Source organism: Homo sapiens, chromosome 7, assembly GCF_000001405.40.
Source record: "Homo sapiens chromosome 7, GRCh38.p14 Primary Assembly".
NCBI lineage: Eukaryota > Metazoa > Chordata > Mammalia > Primates > Hominidae > Homo > Homo sapiens.
The window spans coordinates 66802889-66823972 of NC_000007.14; the positions used below are offsets into that span (position 1 = coordinate 66802889).

At 47.2% G+C, this 21084-nt stretch overlaps 1 protein-coding gene and 1 pseudogene across 41 annotated transcripts in view, besides 1 other annotated feature; one reads left to right on the forward strand and one right to left on the reverse strand.

Annotated features, from left to right (window-relative positions):
- RABGEF1 (RAB guanine nucleotide exchange factor 1) overlaps positions 1 to 8576 on the forward strand; it is a 156898-nt gene extending 148322 nt beyond the window's left edge. For 37 of the 40 annotated variants that reach the window (NR_160287.1, NM_001367727.1, NM_001367725.1 and 34 more), the window contains 2 exons: positions 2252 to 2508; positions 5998 to 8576. Coding sequence is in view for 39 of the 40 variants with exons in the window: in NM_001367727.1 (NP_001354656.1) it covers positions 2252 to 2508; positions 5998 to 6396 (656 nt within the window). In the remaining variant the exon portion in view is untranslated. Of the gene's footprint in view, positions 1 to 2251; positions 2513 to 4949 lie in introns of all 40 variants that reach the window. The other 3 variants (NM_001367752.1, NM_001367754.1, NM_001367755.1) reach the window with 2 other exon arrangements.
- Positions 7105 to 21084, reverse strand: part of GTF2IRD1P1 (GTF2I repeat domain containing 1 pseudogene 1) — a 34894-nt pseudogene continuing 20914 nt past the window's right edge. The window contains exons 10-11 of the transcript NR_003934.2: positions 13265 to 13314; positions 7105 to 8655 (exon numbers count right to left, since the gene is read on the reverse strand). The product of NR_003934.2 is annotated as a GTF2I repeat domain containing 1 pseudogene 1 (transcript). The remainder of the gene's footprint in view (positions 8656 to 13264; positions 13315 to 21084) is intronic.
- Positions 14352 to 14401: an enhancer, noted in NCBI's record as "active region_26088". NCBI's record gives its function as "activates an Ori minimal core promoter by ATAC-STARR-seq in GM12878 lymphoblastoid cells {active_cell/tissue: GM12878}" and the evidence as "EXISTENCE:reporter gene assay evidence [ECO:0000049][PMID:35858748]".

A 21084-nucleotide genomic window follows, 5' to 3' on the forward strand; every position in this document is an offset into this window, starting at 1 on the left:
GCAAGATGAAAGAACATTGAAAAATAAAGATTAACAAGAAAGTAGTTTAAATAAAAGAGAGAAAAAAAAATCACCAATAAAAGGTAGAAGGCTAAAGATAAATGAAGGTAGTAAAAATGGCTTTAAAAAATCTTACCCAATCTTACCCAATTCTTATTTAGAATAAGTTCCATATAAGTAGAAAAAGAAAAATAAATAGATCAATGTAACAATAATTATAACCCAGGATTAAAGGATTAAAGGAAGCAAACAATAAAACAGCAAAAATTATGTAATTCACACAGTAGCCTCATAAGTAAGGGAATAAAAGCACTCAAAAGTTAAAATAATGCCTGTGCACTGCCTAGCACATCTGTCCCCCACACGTTGTCTTTCATGGCAGATGGGCCTAGGAGGGTTCCCCAGGAAGCTGACCTCAGGGATGATCTAAAAGCTGAAAGAACCCTTTGGTATACCCCACCGCCTGGCCAGAGTCTGAAACGTTTATTCCTGCTAGTGGCAAGAATTTGGTGTAAAATTAAGCTGCCTTGGCTCTTTTCTTTTGTGATGTCCCAAGTTGCTGGCCGATGTGCAACCCCAGAGGTACGCTGCCTCTCCAGCGGTGCTGTCACCACGTGCTTCAGCACCCTTCGCTGTCCCCCAGGCTTGTTGGAAAAGGGTGGGCATTCATGAGAGCCCACTGCTTGGACTTAGTGATAGTTGTGGGTAGTGAAATTTTTCTGCCGGGAGCAGTGAGTCACACCTGTAATCCCAGCATTTTGGGAGGCTGAGGTGGGCGGATCACGAGGTCAGGAGTTCGAGACCAGCCTGGCCAATATGGTGAAACCCCATCTCTACTATAAATACAAAAATTAGCCGGGCGTGGTGGTGCGTGCCTGTAGTCCCAGCTACTCAGGAGGCTGAAGCAGGAGAATCGCTTGAACCCGGGAGGCGGAGGTTGCAGTGAGCCGAGATCGTGCCACTGTACTCTAGCCGGGGCAACAGAGTGAGATGCTGTCTCAAAAAAAAAAAAAAAGAAAGAAAGAAATTTTTCCCTGGGAGAAGTAAAATGTTATTTTGAGATTAAGTTTATTCCCTTGCTTGATCCCCTCTGCCAATCAGCAGGTGTGAATGTTGTGATTTCTGTAGCTAGTGGAGATCCACATGCTGGAGAGTTTGGCCACTGTTGAACTAAGTGTGTCGGATTCCAGTAGCTGGATTTTTTTTTTTTTTTTTAACAAGATTTTGCTCTGTTGCCCAGGCTGGAGTGCTGTGGTATGATCGTAGCTCACTGCAGCCTCAACCTCTTGGGCTCAAGCCATCCTTCTGCCTCAGCCTTTCCAGTAGTTGGGGCTATAGGCACACATTACCACACTCGGCTAATTTTTGTATTCTCACATTCAATACAAAGATGCTTTGTGTAGTAGCCACATTTCTAAAAAGCAGTATGCAAATTGGGACTGTCGAAAAACATTCTAAAATGTAACAGAGGCACAGAAGCAGTAAAAAGACTCTTCATCAGACAACTTCTTCCTTCTCCATGGAGCTCAGAGGCAGCTTACATTGTGATTAGAAGTGTGGGCTTGGCCAGGCACGGTGGCTCACGCCTGTAATCCCAGCATTTTGGGAGGCCAAGGTGGGCGGATCACCTGAGGTCAAGAGTTCGAGACCAGCCTGGCCAACATGGTGAAACCCCGTTTCTACTAAAAATACAAAAAGTAGCTGGGTGTGGTGGCGGGCATCTGTAATCTCAGCTACTTTAAAGGCTGAGGCAAGAGAATCGCTTGAACCCAGGAGGCGGAGGTTGCAGTGAGCAGAGATCACACCACTGCACTCTCCAGCCTGGGCAACAAAGAGTGAAACTCAGTCTGAAAAAAAAAAAAAAAAAAGTGTGGGCTTTACAGTCAGGTAGACATGGTTTCAAATTCCCACCCTGCTACATACTGTCTGTATGATCTTGGGCAAATCATTTAACCTCTCTGAACTTCAGCCCCCTCATCCCTAAAATGGATAATATTAATAAGAGTATCCATTGCATAATATGAGGATTAGAGAAATGTGCTTGTAGGGTACACTGTGTATTACCTGGCTCTTGGTTCTGTTTTCCATGAGTATGAGATCATATTTACTAAGTTATTATATACTAAGTTAACTGCTGGAAAAGGGGTTAATAAGGATTCCTTCATAACTTTAGAGATAAAACATGATTTTCCTATTGCTTCTTTTTTGTGATTCTTTTCTCCTGGGAAATATTGTCTTTTCTGCTTTGTAGATATCATTGAAATGGATTCCAAGCGTGTGCCTCGAGACAAGCTGGCCTGCATCACCAAGTGCAGCAAGCACATCTTCAATGCCATCAAGATCACCAAGAATGAGCCGGCGTCAGCGGATGACTTCCTCCCCACCCTCATCTACATTGTTTTGAAGGGCAACCCCCCACGCCTTCAGTCTAATATCCAGTATATCACGCGCTTCTGCAATCCAAGCCGACTGATGACTGGAGAGGATGGCTACTATTTCACCAATCTGGTGAGTAAGTGAGTTCTTGGTGTTGTGGAGAAGGACTAGGAAGGTGGTGGTTTTGGGGATGTGACAGGTCACTTAGGCCCGTGACAGGTGAATGCTTCTGTGTGAGAAGGCAGCATGGCTGAGGAAGCTCACTTTGCATCAGGGAGCACAAGGACCAGGCCATACAGACACTCCGCCTCCCAGCACTTGATCAGAGATTGTGTTTATCCTACGGAAACAGATGACATGTGTTGGGCATCACTCCCCACGGTCCTGGGTAGAAGAGTCCTTCACTTGGCAGGGCTTTTTCAACCATGAATAAGGCAAATTATGTATAAGTTAATAAGGCTGAATATTTGCCCCCTCATTCATTCACTCATTCATTCTACTACAGGGTCTCACTCTATCACCCAGGCTGGAGTGCAGTGGTACAATCATAGCTCACTGCAGCCTTGACCTCCTGGGCTCAAGCAATCCTCTCACCTCAGCCTGCTGTGAAGCTGGTACCACAGGCATGCACCATCACACCGGGCCAATTTTTTTTTTTTTTTGAGAGATGGGGTCTCGCTGTGTTGCCCAGGCTGGTCTCATACTCCTGGACTCAAGCAGTCCTCCCACCTTGACCTCCCTAAGAGTTGGAACTGCAGGCATGAGCCACCACTCCTGACCTGAATTCTTCCTTTTTCTTCCTACTAAACTCTGCTTATTTGCTTTAGAGGGAATGTACTGTAAAGCTAATGAATTTGGAGACTTGGGGCAGCGTATGGACTTGGTTTTCTGTGTTGAGAGCCTGGGAACTAAGAGGTGGGGAGGGGAAGCCAGGATGCATTGCGAGTATTTCTGATAAATTGCCAAAAAAGTCTCACAGGTACGTGAATCTCTCAGTCTCTAAAAATATGTCATGATTTATTTCTAGGTTCTAAGTATGTATTCACATTTATACCTACTTTTGTATTTGTCACTCTTCTTCCTTTTCCTGTAAGTAGGTTCCCAAAATTGTATAAGCTTCAGGTTCCTCCAAACTTGGACCTGCCCCCATCACTCATCACCCTCCAGCATTGTGTTCAGCTACATGTTACTGTAGTCACCAGCATCTTGGGAGTGTGATTTATAGGTGGAGGGACTTGGTGCTCTTGATCAGAATGATGCTTTTACCTTTATTCACACTGTTTTCCATCCTCCCAGGCACATGGTGGTTTAATCTGTAGTACTGAAAAAAGTTTAAGTGGCCCATATAGAATGAGATTAGAAGTACTCATATATCCTTTTTTTTTTTTTTTTTTTTTGAGATGGAGTCTCCCTCTGTCATCCAGGCTGGAATGCAGTGGTGTGATCTCAGCTCACTGCAACCTCCGTCTCCTGGGTTCAAGTGATTCTCATGCCTTAGCCTCCCAAGTAGCTGGGATTACAGATGTGTGTCACCATGCCCGGCTAATGTTTGTATTTTTAGTAAAGACGGGGTTTCACCTTGTTGGCCAGGCTGGTCTCGAACTCCTGACCTCAAGCAATCCACCCACCTCAGTTTCCCACAGTGTTGGGATTACAGGCATGAGCCACCGCACCTGGCCTCATATTTCTTAATATAAATGAAACATACACTTGCCTACGAGGGAAGAGCGTTTTGGATTCAGTTCTTTATCCAAAGCGAGTCAGACAACCTGGAAGTCCCTGAGAAGTGTGAAGGTGGAGACATGGCAGGTATTGAGAGAAGTGGAGGAGGACCAGGACGTGTTTGAGCGTAGCCACGGTCACTGACAGTAGAGGTGGCTGGCTTGCACACACTTAGCAGCTTCTAGTGCCCTTGGCCTGCAGCCTTAAGTACATTTGTGCCTTCTCTCTTTGTCCTCTTCTTGCCTGACTCAGAGTCTGTCTCCTACACCCATTGCTCCAATGAAACTGCTCTGGCAAAAGTAAAAAGTTTCCAGCTGACGAACCCCACGGGCACTCACAGTCTTCATCTTCCTTCGCTTCTCATAGCACTCTCCAAGAGTCCTTTGTTCTGCAACTTCTGTTGTTCCTTGGCTTCCACAATTCCACTACTTCCTTGTCTCTTTGTAAAGTCTGTGTCTTCTACTTCCACCTTGAATTGTGTCATTCCATGGGACTCCATTGTCTCTGCATCTCTCTTCCTGCACCATCTTCTCTGTCACAGAGCTGTCACTCACTGTGCAGTGATGGCCTGCAGCTCTGGGTCACCTGTCTTGACCTTACACTTGTATTGCACCTCAAATATAATTTGTTCAGAGCTACTTCCCCTTCAGATGTTTGTTTCTTTTCCAGTATTCTCTATTCCTTTTAGTGGCAATGCCATGTCTCCATTCACCTAAGTGAGGAGTTAGAATCACCTCCTCTTTCCAGGTCACAGAGGGGCCACAGCAACTCCACACACACCATGAGCCAGATGGTGTTCCGTTCTACTCAGATGAATCAGATTTTTCTTTTTCTTTATTCCTTTTTTCTAGAGATGGTTTCTACCCCGACTGTTTCCCAGGCTGGTCTGAACTCCTGGTCTCAAGCAATCCTCCCACCTCGGCCTCCCAAAGTGCTAGGATTACAAGCACGAGCCAACACGCCTGGCTCAGATGTCTGTTGAATTGGGCATTTGCAGTGCCATGTCTGTACTAATAATTGCTACCGTGTATTCATTGCTCGCTGCAGGCCTCTCGGAAGCACGTGACATGTTATGTTGTTTAATTCTCACAATAAATCTAGGTGGTATTTCCCCCCATTTACAGGTACAGAAACCTCAGAGAGCTTAAGTAACTTTCCCACGGTCACTCACTGTTGTTGTTAAGTGAAAGAGGTGACAGTGAACTCAGGTTCAGTCACTTCAGAGTTGTTCCTTTTTTTTTTTTTTCCTGAGACAGTCTTGCTCTGTCACCCAGGCTGGAGTGCAGTGGCGTGATCTTGGCTCACTGCAACCTCCGCCTCCCAGGTTCAAGCAATTCTCCTGCCTCAGTCTCCCAGGTAGCGGGGATTACAGGCGCCCACAACTGCGCCCAGCTAATTTTTGTATTTTTAGTAGAGATGGGGTTTCACCATGTTGGCCAGGCTGGTCTCAAACTCCTGACCTCATGATCCACACGTCCCAGCCTCCCAAAGTGCTGGGATTACAGGCTTGAGGCACCGGGCCCGGTCTGGAGCTGTTCTTTTAACCACTTGATGTTAAAATATTCATTTGAGGATCAGAGGTCTGTGTGCCACACCTACTTGGGGACTATATCCTGGGTGGGGATAGCAGGTCTGGGAAGACTCAGACAGAATGGCTTCATGGTGCACCTGGGGAGGCTGCACCCAGACATCGGCCCTGGAGCTCCTGGGAGTGTATAGGAAGCACGACCGGGGATAGGAGTAGGTAATTTTTGAGGCTGAAATACACAGAAGTTCATGAGTTTGTTTTGTTTACTTTAGCTTCTGTTTTAAATGGTCTGTGATCAAAAGATTTTTACAAATCGACTCGAGTATGCATAGCTTTCCTAATATGACTGTATTAACGTCCTCTTCTTGTAGTGCTGTGCTGTGGCTTTCATTGAGAAGCTAGACGCCCAGTCTTTGAATCTAAGTCAGGAGGATTTTGATCGCTACATGTCTGGCCAGACCTCTCCCAGGAAGCAAGAAGCTGAGAGTTGGTCTCCTGATGCTTGCTTAGGCGTCAAGCAAATGTATAAGAACTTGGATCTCTTGTCTCAGTTGAATGAACGACAAGAAAGGATCATGAATGAAGCCAAGAAACTGGAAAAAGACCTCATAGATTGGACAGATGGAATTGCAAGAGAAGTTCAAGACATCGTTGAGAAATACCCACTGGAAATTAAGCCTCCGAATCAACCGTTAGCAGCTATTGACTCTGAAAACGTTGAAAATGATAAACTTCCTCCACCACTGCAACCTCAAGTTTATGCAGGATGATCACAATTTAGTGGAGAGTATTTATTTGAGCCTAAATTGTAGGTAGCCCTTACTACACTCAACTGATTGGGATCTAGAATGTAACTAAATTGCTTATAAATGTCAGCATTTTTTAAAGGTACAGTATATGGGGATTGTTTCGTTTTTCCTAGCAGGGGAACCTTAGTTAATAATAAAATACTACTTATTTGAGTTACTGATACAGATTCATTTAAGGCTTGTGTGCAAATTTTGTCTCAATCTTTTTTCCCTCCATGATTTTCCTATGTGCTTCCTCTGGCATTCACTGTGGTTTTGGTAAATAATTGCCTTTTAAAGGATTAAACAAATGAATGCTACAAAGTGTATGTTCAAGAAAATTAAATGGTACCACTCTTCCACAGTTTGGAATAATTTTATAATTGTAAAGATAGAAATTATATTGATAAGTAAATATGTAAAATTGTAAATATGTAAAAAAAAGAATGGTGTCTGCTGTGCATGGCATTTTATATGTTAATTTTTTAGTTTAAAATGAAGTATATTGAATGTTTGCCTTTAGCACCATTTTATTTGGTTTGTCCCACTAAAATGACTCGAGAAGTGTTTAGACAAACTCCCCTTAAGATGTGCACTCCATCTTTAAGAACGTGTTAGCCTTAACTTTGAGGTTCTATATAGTCAGAGACTATGACACCACTAAGGTTCAGAATAAAGTTTAGGCCACATAAAATTGCTGTTTAATGTAGTCGATGGAAGACTTTAAACTATGCTTCTAGCTTATTTTTCCCTCATTCATTCAGCAAATCTCTATTGAGTTCTTCAGTGAGAAGGAGCAGGCACTGGGCCTGGAATGGAAGGCGGGAATGAATGGGCCTCTGATGGTGAGAGGTGACGGGGTCCCTCAGCTGTGAGATGCAAGGGGCGCCTTGCAGCCTCCATAATATACATTTGACTTTGCAAACGTCTAGACATGTTTTCTGAACCTTTTTCAGGACATTTCAACCTCGGGACTATTCATATTAGTGGCCTGAGAGGTGTTTGTTGTGGGGCCACCCTGTGCATGGTAGAATGTTCAGCAGCATTCCTGCCATCCATATCCATTAGGTGCCAGTAGCACCCCCGCTAGAGCTGTGAAAAATTCTCTCCAGACATAGTCAGATGTCTCCTGGGGCCATATCACCCCTCCGTTAAGAACCACTGATGTCTTTTACAAACCAGGAGTTATCCTCCTGGTGGTTAATATGGTGTAACCAAAGAATCTTGCACTCAATGCACAGTGTGATGTTAACTAAAACGAGTTAAATATTTAGGAGGCTTGACAGCTACCTGCATTGTAGAACCTTTTCTTATCTCAGTGGAACCTTCTATAACCTAAATATACCATTGATGATTCTTCTTCCATTCAGTGACATCCACAGATTATGCAGCTATACTTGTGAAATCGTGCATGAGGCCCCAGGGCACCGTTCTAGAACAACGTCACTTCACACAGGCAGCTGAGAAAGGTTCTCTTGCTTTTCCAGTATCTTCCTAAGGATGGAGCCCAAAATTGCAGAGCAGTAACTTTGGAATAAAACCAGGGTGGGTATAAAACTTCTTATTCTTAAATTTACATATAAGATCTATTAAGCTTGACACATCTGTGTCATCACGCACTGAAGACAGGAAGCAGTTCACTGAGTCAGCTGGTTCCCAAGCTCGCACAGAAGGTGATAAGTTACTATCAAATGCCAGTGAGAATCTTCTTATAGAATAACCTGGGCCCAAGTGATTTTAGTACAAAACTTGCCCTTCTTTGGTTTAATTTTCTATGTGCTTTTAGGTGTGAATCCAGATATGCGGTCTTAATTCCTTTGGAAATACACAGTTCGTTTAGTTACTGTACACTCTGTTTGTTCAATAAACTGCATATCAACTTCCCACAAAAGCTGACTTTTTTGGGTCTCTTACATATAAAGTAGGTTATTGAGTTGATTTTTTTGGAGGTATCTCATATTGGTCGAATTCTTCTGGTATGGACTCTTGCCTTATATAGAGGCTTCTATTTCTCTTAAGTCAGCATCAATACAACGGCCGGAGTTTCTGTTTTTGCAATAAGAAGATGTTGGTATTTTATGTAGGGTAAATGTGACTGGAATACACCTTTGGAACGGAATTCTTTATCAATAAAGTTTCACAATCCGTCCCTCTTCCAAAAATTGATTTGGTTCTTTCTTAGGAAAATATACATTATTATTAATATTCTCATGCTACAGAGGTTTTCTGGTTAAGCTATACCTAAAAATGAAACATTAGAGACATTTGTCAGTTAAAATTAAGAAGACAAGAATATTTGCTGTCACCACAATCAATCAACCTTGTTCTTGCAGTTCTACCAAGGTACTCAGTCTTCAAACAGACATAAAAGTAGAGAAAAAAGGAGTTAATGTAATCAATATAGAGCTATTATTGTCTGTTGGTGAGGACATGAACTCTGAAGCTGGAAGGCTTGGATTTGGTTTTGAATTTTATTCTGCTACTTATTAGCTCATTGGCCCTGAACAAATCTCTTGTTTCAGATCCCTCAGCTGTGAAATGGGGTTAATAATATTACTGCTTCATGGGGTTGTTGTCTGAACTTAGAACAAATGATAGCTATTATTTGTAGATGGTTATTTTATGTAGAAAACCCAAGAGAAGGCTGGGTGTTGTGGCTCACGCCTGTAATCGCTTTTGGAGGCAAGGCAGGAGGAATGCTTGAGGCCAGGAGTTTGAGAGCAATGTCAGCAACATAGTGAGACCCACATCTCTACAAAAAAAAAAAACACTAGCTGGGCATGGTGGTGTGTACCTGTAGTCCCAGCTACTGGGGAGGCTAAGGTGGGAAGATCACCTAAGCCCAGGAATTTGAGGTGGCAGTGAGCTGTGATCTCACCATTGCATGCTAGCCTGAGTGAGACCCTGTCTTGAAAAACAGAAATGTAAAAAAAGAAAACCCAAGAGAATTTATATTGAAACTATAGAATTTCATCTCTATATTAGTGAAAGATGAAAATTCTAAAATAGCGATAAAAGCTAACTGTACAAAATGATTTTCCTATATACCATTACTAACCACTTAGCAAACATTGTGGAGAAAAAAATCAATTTACAATAGAAACAAATATAAATCACCTACAGAGAACAAGAGCTTTCAGGATCGATACGAAAAACAGAAAATTGAGTGAGAAGCACAAAGGTGTGACTGCAAAGGGCCCTGTGCTTGGACTTTAGGGCTCTGTAGCTGCCATCGTGAAATTCTTCTTTTTTGTTTTTGTTTTTCTTTGGGCTGGGGGGTATAGGGTCTGGCTCCGTAACCCAGGCTGTGGAGTGCAGTGGTGTGAACATGACTTACTGCAGCCTGGACCTCCTGGGCTCAAGCTAGCCTCTCGTCTCAGCCACCTGAGTAGCTGGGACTACATGTGTGTGCCACTGTACCCAGCTAATATTTAAATTTTTTATGGAGACGAATCTCACTATGTTGTCCTGGCTGATCTTTTTTTTTTTTTTTTTTGAGATGGAGCCTTGCTCTGTCACTCAGGCTGGAGTGCAGTCGTGTGATCTTGGCTCACTGCAATCTCCACCTTCTGGGTTCAAGTGATTTTCCTGTCTCAGCCTCCCAAGTAGCTGGGACTACAGGTGCGTGCCACCATGCCCAGCTAATTTTTTGTATTTTTAGTAGAGATGGGGTTTCACTGTGTTAGCCAGGATGGTCTTGATCTCCTGACCTCGTGATCCACCTGCCTCGGCCTCCTGAAGCGCTGGGAATACAGGCGTGAGCCACCGCGCCCAGCTGTCCAGGCTTGTTTTAAACTCTTGGGCTCAAGCAATTCTCCCACCTTGGCTTCCTAATGTGCTGGGATTACCAGCATGAGCCTCCGTGCCCCACCCCACCGAAAAAAGAAATTTATACTTAAGTTTTTGCCCACAGGTTCCTCAGTGTGTTAAAAAGGTTGAATGGGGAACCTGAAACTCCTCCCCCTGCTTTTGGAAGTGTAGGGCACTTCCCTTTCTCCACAGTGTCAGTAGAGGATGGGTGGAGACTGAACTTCCAGCCCTGCCAGGTGAGAATGAAGTGTTTGTTCCTGTCCTCTCCACCCTCTTCTGTGGTGTTGGTGGGGGCTGAGGGGGGAGCCTGGATTTCTACCTCCACCCATGATAATGAGGTCACAACTCACTTTCTTCACCAGTGTGACATTGGCTAAAGAATATTTAAATTAGATTGAGAGCCTCCTAACATAACAACACCCCAAACCTTCAAGACACAATAAAAAAAATCACTGACCATCTGGGGGCAGTGGCTCCTGCCTGTAATCCCAGCACCTTGGGAGGCCCAATGTAGGCGGATCACCTGAGGTCAGGAGTTCGTGACCAACATAGCTGAACGTCATCTCTACTAAAAATACAAAAATTAGCTGGGCGTGGTGTTGGATGCCTGTAATCCCAGCTACTCAGGAGGCTAAGGCAGGAGAATCACTTGAACCCGGGAGGTGGAGGTTGCAGTGAGTCGAGATTGTGCCACTGCACTCCAGTCTGGGAGACAGAGTGAGACTCTGCCAAAAAAAAAAAAAAAAGAAAAAAAGGCCGGGCACAATACCTCACACCTGTAATCCTAGCACTTTGGGAGGCTGAGGCGGGTGGATCACCTGAGGTCAGGAGTTCCAGACCAGCCTGGCGAACATGACAAAACCTCGTCTTTACTAAAAGTACAAAAATTAGCCAGGTGTGGTGGGAGCCTGTAGTCCTAGCTACTCAGGAGGCTGAGGCAGGAGAATAGCTTGAACCCGGGAGGCGAAGGTTGCTGTGAGCCGAGATCACACCACTGCACTCCAGCCTGGGAGACAAGAGTGAGATTGTGTCTCAAAAAAAAAAAATCACTTATCATATCTGAACCAAATGACACATGTGTTGGAATTATCTGACAAAGATTTTAAAGAAGGCATCATAAAAATTCAATAACTAAAGACAAACATGCTTGAAACAAATGAAAAACCCCAGCAAAACCACTGAAGACATGAAGCAAATGGAAATTTTTGAATTTAAAATGACAATAACTGAAAGTTTTTAAATTTCATATTAGAGGGCTGGGCGTGGTGGCTCACACCTGTAATCTCAGCACTTTGGGAGGCTGAGGTGAGTGGATCACCTGAGGTTAGGAGTTCGAGACCAGCCTGGCCAACATGGTGAAACCCTGTCTCTACTAAAAACACAAAATATTAGCCGGGCATGCTGGTGCATGCCTGTAATCCCAGCTACTCAGGAGGCTGAGGCACGAGAATTACTACTTGAACTGGAAGTGGAGGTTGCAGTGAGCCAAGATCATGCCACTGCACTCCAGCCTAGGCGACAAAGCGACACTCCATCTGAAAAAAAAAAAAAAATTCATATTAGAATTGCAGTGATCGAAGAATGGATTAACTGGGATATAGATCAATAGAAATTCCCAATGTGAACAACAGAGCAAAAATTGAACTTTTAAAATGTAGGCTCAGGGACCCGTGGGATGGTTAAAAGAAAAAAGAGATCTATCATTGTCACTGGAGTAACAGAAGGAGAGGAGAAAAATGCATATGGCTAAAAAATATTAAATAGCAACTGAAAATCTCCCCGAAATTTTCATGCCTGTAATCCCAGCAATTTGGGAGGCCGAGGCAGGAGGATCACCTGAGGGCAGGAGTTGGAGACCACCAGCCTGGTCAACATGGTGAAACCCCATCTCTACTAAAAAAATACAAAAATTAGCCAGTTGTGGTGGCATGAGCCTGTAACTCAGCTACTCAGGAGGCTTAGGCAGGAGAATCACTTGAATTCAGGAGGCGGAGGTTGCATTGGGCTGAGATCACGCCATTGTGTTCCAGCCTGGGCAACAAGAATAAAACTCCATCTCAAAACAAACGAAGACAAGTGCTAGCATGTGCCAAAGGGATCCCAGACCACCATCTCTCTCTCTCTCTCTCTCTTTTTTTGAAACAGAGTCTTGCTCTGTCACCCAGGCTGGAGTGCGGTGGCACCATCTTGGCTCACTGCGACCTCCGCCTCCCAGGTTCAAGCAATTCTCCCGCCTCAGCCTCCCGAGTAGCTGGGATCACAGGTGCACGCCACCTCACCCGACTTAATTCTTGCATTTTTTTGGTAGACGTGGAGTTTCGCCATGTTGCCCAGGCTGGTCTCGAACTCCTGGCCTCAAGCCATCCTCCCTCCTTGACCTCCCCAAATGCTGGGATTACAGGCGTGAGGTGCCGCACCTGGCTCCTATTCTGATTTCAAAGCACTAAGACCACAGCTGATTGCTGAATAAGGAGTGGGCGTGTCAGCTACCTTCCCGGAGGGGGGCAGGCAGGCTCCTGGGCCCTGTACCCTCCCACCCCCTAGGTCCCCCCACCATCCACCTGTAGGCACCTCCTCTCCCCTGGAGTCTCTAACACAGAGCTGGCAGGGTACAGTCGGGCCTGGATTGCTAACCTGGCTTGCCTGGTCCCTTAGGCCCTGAAGTTGGGGGCCAGCTCCTCCCCACTTCCAGCCTGGCCCTCCAATCCCAAACCAGGTCAGGGTCATGGTGCTGGGACAACAGACCTCCCCCTGAGCTCAACCTTACCTTGAAAGCCCTGTCTCTTCAGGCTCTCGCCCACCAGAGGGTCCCTGGAATCCCTCTCTGGGGGCAGGGCAGGGGGAGAGAAACCAAGTGAGGAGGCAGTTCCTGGGACCCAAGATGGCATCATTAGGGGAAACCCAGTGCGGGGGTGTGGGGAGAATGCCAGGGCCAAGATGAGAGCAGGACAGAGCCAGCAGGAGGAGGGGCTGGTGGCAGAGGCTCCTGGGCCCCTCCCTTGCCCGCCCACACCATGTCCCACGACCCCGCGCTGGGTACCTTGACTGTCAATGATGGGCTCTTTGACTCCCTCAGTGAGCAGCTCAGGCCTGGAAAACACAAGTGGGGCCATCACAGAGGTCCCTCCAAGCATCTCTGGGACTGCCCAGCCCTCCCCTCTGGGCCTCGGTCTGCACATCCCTGCAATGGACCCTCCTGGCTCCGCACAGTTAGGCCTGGAGTCCCTGCTGCCCCATGTGTGGAATCTGGGGGGCTGCCCTGGGCTTGAAGGATCCAGCTGGGAGTGAGACCCACCCAGTCCTGAACAGGTCCGTCTGATATCTCACTCCTGCTCCAGGGACATTGCACGATTGTCACTACCTGGGATTGGAGCAGGCGGCCTCAGGGGGCCTCCTGTGGAGCTGGTTTAAAGTGTAGAAACAAGGTCTAGTGCAGTAGCTCACGCCTGTAATCCCTGCACTTTGGGAGGTCGAGGAAGGCAGATCACTTGAGGTCAGGAGTCTGAGACCAGCCTGGCCAACATGGTGAAACTCGTCTCTACTAAAAATACAAAAATTAGCTGGGTGCGGTGGCAGGCTCCTATAATCCCAGCTACTCGGGAGGCTGAGGGAGGGGAATCGCTGAGGAGGCGGAGGTTGCAGTGAGCTGAGATAGCGCCACTGCACTCCAACCTGGATGACAGAGCAAGACTCCATCTCTAAATAAATAAATAAAATAAATAAATAAATAAATAAATAAATAAATAAATAAATAAATAAAGTGTAGAAACAGTCGGGGTCCACTACATAGCAAGAACTCTGAGCTTCTGGAAAGGTCTCAGATCTGTGGCTCACATCTGAGAGCTGCTGTGTAAATGCAGTCGGGAGTGCCAGTGAGCAAGCCCAGCTTTGTATTATAATAATGTCTTTAGCTCCACAGACTCCAGAAAGCCCTGTCCAGACATGAATCAACCTTCTTTATCATACCACACTGCTTCTAAAGTCTCCATCTTCAGCACAACTTGTCCTGTTAGAGCAAGCCTGTTGGGGGGCTGGGGTTTGTGGTGGGTAGAGGACACTGGGAAAATCATGCTGGCCAGAAGGGGGCTGTCGGGGGATGGCAGGGTAGGCCATGGAGTGGAGAGGTAATGAGCTCTCTGTCACAGGGGTAATCAAGCAGCAGCACTGAGGAGTCTCTGCCTGAGAGTGAGCCCAAAGGCCAAACTCTCAAGGAGGGCACCCCTTGGGTCCCCAGTAGATGAGGATTTGGTGCCTGCTCTGGCGGTGGGCATCTCTTAAGCTTCTGAACAGTGCCAGGCACAGAGCTGGGGTCACAGGGCCAGGGCTGGGAGGGGGAAGCATAACCCTGCCTTGAACCACAGTCTCAGGAGCTAGAAAAGGCTTCGGACTGCATTTGGGCCCCTCCTCTTTATGGGAGAACTCAGGTTCTGAAAGGGGAAGTGACTTCCCAGCAGTAAACTTAGAGAGGCAGAAGCTGGGCAGAGCCCCTGAGTCCCAGGCCAGAGTAGCGACAGTGCTTCCCCTTAAATAGCACAGCCGGCTGCCAAGGCCACAGGGAGTAACAGGAGGAGCTGGCCTCAAACCCACCAGACAGCCTCTCCCGTCGGCCACTGCGCTGATCTGCCTCCTTTTCCAAATGACAGGTGTAGAAAGCCATCGTGACTTTAAAAAGTGCTCAAGGCTGGGCATGGTGGCTCAACCTGTAATCCCAGCACTTTGGGAGGCTGAGGCAGGGGGATCGCTTTGAGCCCAGGAGTTTGAGACCAGCTTGGGCAACATAGCGAGACCCCTTCTCTACAAAAAATGTAAAAATTAGCCAGGTGTGGTGGCGTGCTCCTGCAGTCCCAGCTACTCAGGAGGCTGAGGCAGGATTGCTTGAGCCCAGGAGTTTAAGGCTGCAGTGAGTTATGATTGTGCCACTACACTCCAGCCTGGGCTTCAGAAAGACCTGTCTCTTAAAACAAATGCTCATGGCCAGGCATGGTGGCTCATGCTTGTAATCCCAGCTACTCAGGAGGCTTAGGCAGGAGAGTTGCTTAAACCTGGAAGGTGGAGGCTGCAGTGAGCCGAGATGGAACCACTGTACTCCAGCCTGGGTGACAGAGCGAGACTCTGTCTCAAAAAAACCCGCAAAAGGCTGGGCATGGTGGCTCACGCCTCTAATCTCAGCACTTTGGGAGGCCAAGGCGAACGGATCACTTGAGGCCAGCCTGACCAACATGGTGAAACCCCGTCTCTACTAAAAATACAAAATTTAGCCAGGCATAGTGACATGCGCCTGTTATTACAGCTACTCAGGAGGCTGAGGCAGGGGGATTGCTTGAACCGGGAGGCAGATGTTGTAAGTCGAGATCGCACCACTCCACTCCAGCCTGGGCAACAGAATGAGACTGTCTCAAAAAATAGAAAACAACAACAACAACAAAACCCACAAAAAACAAAAAAACAATGCTCATGAGCACAAGGTGTCTCTGCACAAAACCATAAAAAATGTCATTCATGAGGACTTGCTGTTGAATTGGCACCTAACCTCAAGCTGCCCGGGTGCCCCTGGTTTATGGTTTGAGGGAGTGGGCGTTGAAAGCAAAAACAAAAACAAAAACAAACGAGAATGAGACCCTGTCTCTAAGAATTTTTTAAAAATAAAATTCAAACTCTTTAAGCTGGCCCCAAACCCATGCGATCTGGCCCCTGCTACCTTTTTCTTTTTTTTTTTTTTTTGAGACAGAGTTTTGCTCTTATTGCTCAGGCTGGAGTGCAGTGGCACTATCTCAGCTCTCTGCAACCTCTGCCTCCCAGGTTCAAGCAGTTCTCCTGCCTCAGTCTCCCGAGGAGCTGGGATTACAGATTACAGGACCCCGACCCCGAACAACACACCTGGCTAATTTTTGTATTTTTTTTCTGTTTCTTTTGTTTTTTTTAATTATACTTTAAGTTCTAGGGCACATGTGCACAACGTGCAGGTTTGTTACATAGGTATACATGTGCCATGTTGGTGTGCTGCACCCATTAACTCGTCATTGACATTAGGTATATCTCCTAATGCTATCCCTCCCCGCTCCCCTCACCCCATGACAGTATTTTTAGAGATGGGTTTGCACCATGTTGGCCAGGCTGGTCTTGGACTTCCGACCTCAGGTGATCCACCCTCCTCGACCTCCCAAAGTGCTGAGATTACAGGCGTGAGCCACCGCTCCTGACCTATTTTTCTTTTTTTTTATAGAGATAGGGTCTAACTATGTTGCCTAGGCTGGTCTCAAACTCCTGAGCTCAAGCAATCCTCCCACCTCAGTCTCCCAAAGTGCTAGGATTACAGGCATGGGCCACTGCGCCTGGTCCCTTGCTACTTCTTGGGCCTCAACCTCACCATCCTTCCCTCATTCACCCCGTACCAGCTACAAGGGCACCTTGCGAGCCTTCAAACACACAAGCACGTTGTTGCCTCTGAGACTTGGCATGACTTTTTCTCTATCCCCACAGTCTTTTTTTTTTTTTTTAGACAGAGTCTCCCTTTGTCACCCAGGCTGGAGTGTAATGGCATGATCTCGGCTCACTGCAACCTCCACCTCCTGGGTTCAAGCGATTCTCCTGCCTCAGCCTCCTGAGTAGCTGGGATTACAGGCACGCACCACCACACCTGGCTAATTTTTGTACTTTTTGTAGAGGCAGGGTTTCACCATGTTCGTCAGGCTAGTGTCGAACTCCTGACCTTGTGATCTGCCTGCCTTAGCCTCCCAAAGTGCTGGGATTACAGGCATGAGCCACTGCGCCTGGCCTGCTCCCACACTCTTTATGCACCTGGCTGGCCCTCTCACTTCATTGGGTCGCTGCTCCAATGTCACCTCCTTTTCCAGGTTCCTCCTGTCCCTCTCTCCCCCTCACTCTGAATTATATCCTGTCACAGCAGTTATCTCTACGTGACATGATGTTGTGATTTTGTCTGGGTGACATCGGCAACTCCAGGGCAACTTGGTGGCATTTACCGCTGGGCTGCAAGCCCAGGACCTGGCAGGCATCCAGGATGGTTTTTTAGTTTGTTTGTCTCTTTGTGTTTTATTTATTTATATATATATTTTTTTATTTATTTTGAGAAGGAGTCTCGCTCTGTCGCCCAGGCTGGAGTGCAGTAATGCGATCTCAGCTCACTGTGACCTCCACCTCCCAGGTTCAAGTGATTCTTGAGCCTCAGCCTCCCGAGGAGCTGGGACTACAGGTGAGCACCACCACGCCCAGCTAATTTTTGGTATTTTTAGTAGAGATGGGGTTTCACCATGTTAGCCAGGCTGGCTTCGAACTCTCGACCTCAATTGATGCATCTGCCTCGGCCTCCCAAAGTGCTGGGATTACAGGCGTGAGCCACCACGCCCGGCCTCTCTTTGTATTTTTTTTTTTTTTTTTGAGACGGAGTCTCGCTCTGTCGCCCAGGCTGGAGTGCAGTGGCGGGATCTCGGCTCACTGCAAGCTCCGCCTCCCGGGTTCACGCCATTCTCCTGCCTCAGCCTCCCAAGTAGCTGGGACTACAGGCGCCCGCCACTACGCCCGGCTAATTTTTTGTATTTTTAGTAGAGACGGGGTTTCACCGTTTTAGCCGGGATGGTCTCGATCTCCTGACCTCGTGATCCGCCCGCCTCGGCCTCCCAAAGTGCTGGGATTACAGGCGTGAGCCACCACGCCCGGCCCTCTCTTTGTATTTTTAAAGGGACGAGGTCTTGCTCTGTCACCCAGGCTAGAGTGCAGTGATGCCATCATAGCTCACTGCAGCCTGGACCTTCTGTGCTTAAGCGATTCTTCTGCCTTCCGCCTCAGCCTCCCAAGTATCTGGGACTACTGGCACATACCACTGCACCTGGCTAATTTTTTAATTCTAAAAATCAAATAGAGATGGGGTCGCTATGTTGACCAGGCTGGTCTCAAACTCCTGGCCTCAAGCGACCCTCCCATTTTGTCCTCCCAAAGTGCTGGGATTACAGGTGTGAGAATTTTAAAAATTTTTTGTAGAGATGGGGTCTCCATACAGTGCCCAGGCTGGTCTCAAACTCCTGGGCTCAAGCGATCCTCCTTTCTGGGCCTCCCAAGGTGTTGGGATTACAGGCATGAGCCATCACGCCTGGCCAGAATGTATTTACATTTTTTTTTTTTCAGATGGGGCCTTACTCTGTCACCCAGACTGGAGTGCAGTGGTGCAATCATGGCTCACTGCAGCCTCGAACTCCTGGCTCAAGCAATCCTCCCACCTCAGCCTCCCAAGTAGCTGGGACTTCAGGTGCACACCACCAAGCCTGGCTAATTTTTTTTTTTTTTTTTTGAGATGGAGTTTTGGTCTTGTTGCCCAGGCTGTAGTGCAATGGCATGATCTTGGCTCACTGCAACTTCTGCCTCCTGGGTTCAAGCAATTCTTCTGCCTCAGCTTCCCGAGTAGCTGGGATTACAGGCACCCACCACCACACCTGGCTAATTTTGTATTTTTTAGTAGAGATAGGGTTTCTCCAGATTGGTCAGGCTGGTCTCGAACTCCCAACCTCAGGTGACCCGCCCACCTCGGCCTTTCAAAGGGCTGGGATTACAGGTGTGAGCCACCGTGCCCGGCCTTAATTTTTGTATTTTTAGTAGTCCTGATCTCAAGTGATCTGCCCACCTCAGCCTCCCATGCTGGGATTACAGGCATGAGCCACTGTGCCCAGCTCAATCTTCCTTTTAATATGCCCAGACACACCAGGTATGTGGCTGCATTTCATCCTGGCCTGCTGAAGCCTTTGATTCTACTGCATGAATCACGACTCTTGCTCTCCAGCCCTTTTGCATAGCTTTTTGCTATCTGCTCTTTGTGTGTCATGGAGCAGCAGCCTCCCTCCTGGCATAGAGCAGGCCCTGCAGAAGAGCTCCCTGTCCCAGCAGATCTCCTCGCCACTTTATGCAAAAATGACACTGTGAGTCTCCCAGTTTGAGAACCATCTATTCCCCTGGATGAACAAACCCTTAAGAGTCTCTTCTTTCTTGCTGCTTTCAACCAAACCAAGCCTAATTTTTTTTTTTTTTTTGAGACAGAGTCTCACCGTGTCGCCCAGGCTGGAGTGTTGTGGTGCCATCTCAGCTCAATGCAGCCTCCACCTCCCGGGTTCAACTGATTCTTCTGCCTCAGTCTCCTGATGACAGGGAGATTACAGCTGGGATTACAGGCATGAGCCACCACGCCTGGCTAATTTTTGTATTTTTAGTAGAGATGGGATCTCGCCATGTTGGCCAGGCTGGTCTTGAACTCCTGACCTCAAGTGATCTGCCTGCCTTGGCCTCCCAAAGTGCTGGGATTACAGGCATGAGCCATCGTGCCCAACCATAAACCAAGCCTAAATGTATGCTATTACAGTAACACAGAAGTAACAAACACAAAATGGAAATAGGATCCTCCCATTCCCTGTTTTGTTTTTTTATTTTTTTGAGGAGGGGTCTTGCTCTGTTACCCAGGCTGGAGTGCAGTGGTGCAATCATAGCTCACTGGAGCCTCCAAACCCCTCCTGGGCTTAAGTGATCCTCCCACCTCAGCCTCCTGAGTAGCTGAGATTACAGGTGTGCACCACCATGCCCAGCTAATTTAAAAGTTTTTTGTAGAGATGGGGTCTTGTTATGTTGCCCATGCTAGTCTTGAACTCCTGGCCTCAAGTGATTCTTCTGCTTCAGCCTCCTGAGTAGCTGAGACTACAGGCATGTGCTGCTACACTAGAGCTTATAAAATTTTTTTTGTAGTGACACAGTCTTGCTATGTTGCCCGGGCTGGTCTTGAACTCCTGGGCTTAAGCAATCCTCCCACCTCAGCTTCCCAAAGTGCTGGGATTACAGGCATGAACCACTGTTCCTGAAATCCCCCGACCACATTTTTACTCAATAACTGCCACCGCCTTCTCCAAAGGGACATTTTATCCTAGCTGGGCACACAGAGTGTATCCATGGGTGCTGCCCTGGGACCTCACTGGCAAAAACACAACATGCTCAAGGAAACAGAAAGAGCCTGGAGAAGCCACTGCCAGACTTTCCCATCCTGGGACAATGGGGCATTGCCACCAGCCCCTGGCCCAGGACACCAACACACCAGCCTGGAGAACCTGTGAGCTGATGGGACATTCCCATTCTGCATCTGGGCAAACTGAACACTGCTCTCCTGAGACTGTGAGAGGGGTCAGCTCGGTGGCTTTGGGTCTGACAGGCCTGAGAAGCCTCACATCTGCCAACTGCAGCCAAACCCATCTAACACCTTGCTGTCAAAGAAAAAAAAAAAAAGAGAGAGAGAGAAAAGAAAGGCCTGGTGTGGTGGCTCATGCCTATAATCCCAGCAATTTGGGAAGCTGAGGTGGCAGGATCACTTGAGGTCAGTAGTTCAAGACCAGCCTGGCCAATATGGTGAAACCCTATCTCAGCTAAAAATACAAAAATTAGCTGGGAGTGGTGGTGGGCACCTGTAGTCTCAGCTACTCGAGAGGCTGAGTCAGGAGAATCACTTGAACCCAGGAGGCTGTGGTTGCAGTGAGCCAAGATCGTACCACTGCACTCCAGCCTGGGAGACAGAGTGACACTCTGTCTAAAGGAAAAAAGAAATAGTGGCCAGGCGCGGTGGCTCACGCCTGTAATCACTTTGGGAGGCCCAGGCAGGAGATGGCTTGAGTCCAGGAGTTTGAGAACAGTCTGGGCAATGTGGCCAGACCCTATCTCTAAAAAAATAAAATCAATCAATCAATTAATCAAAAAATTAGCTGGGTATGGTGGCACACACCTGTGGTCCCAGCTATTCGGGTGGCTGAGGCACAAGAATCGCTTGATGGTGATTTGGTGCTGCTCCTGCCCCGGGTGCTGAGCAGTCCTGGTGCTGTC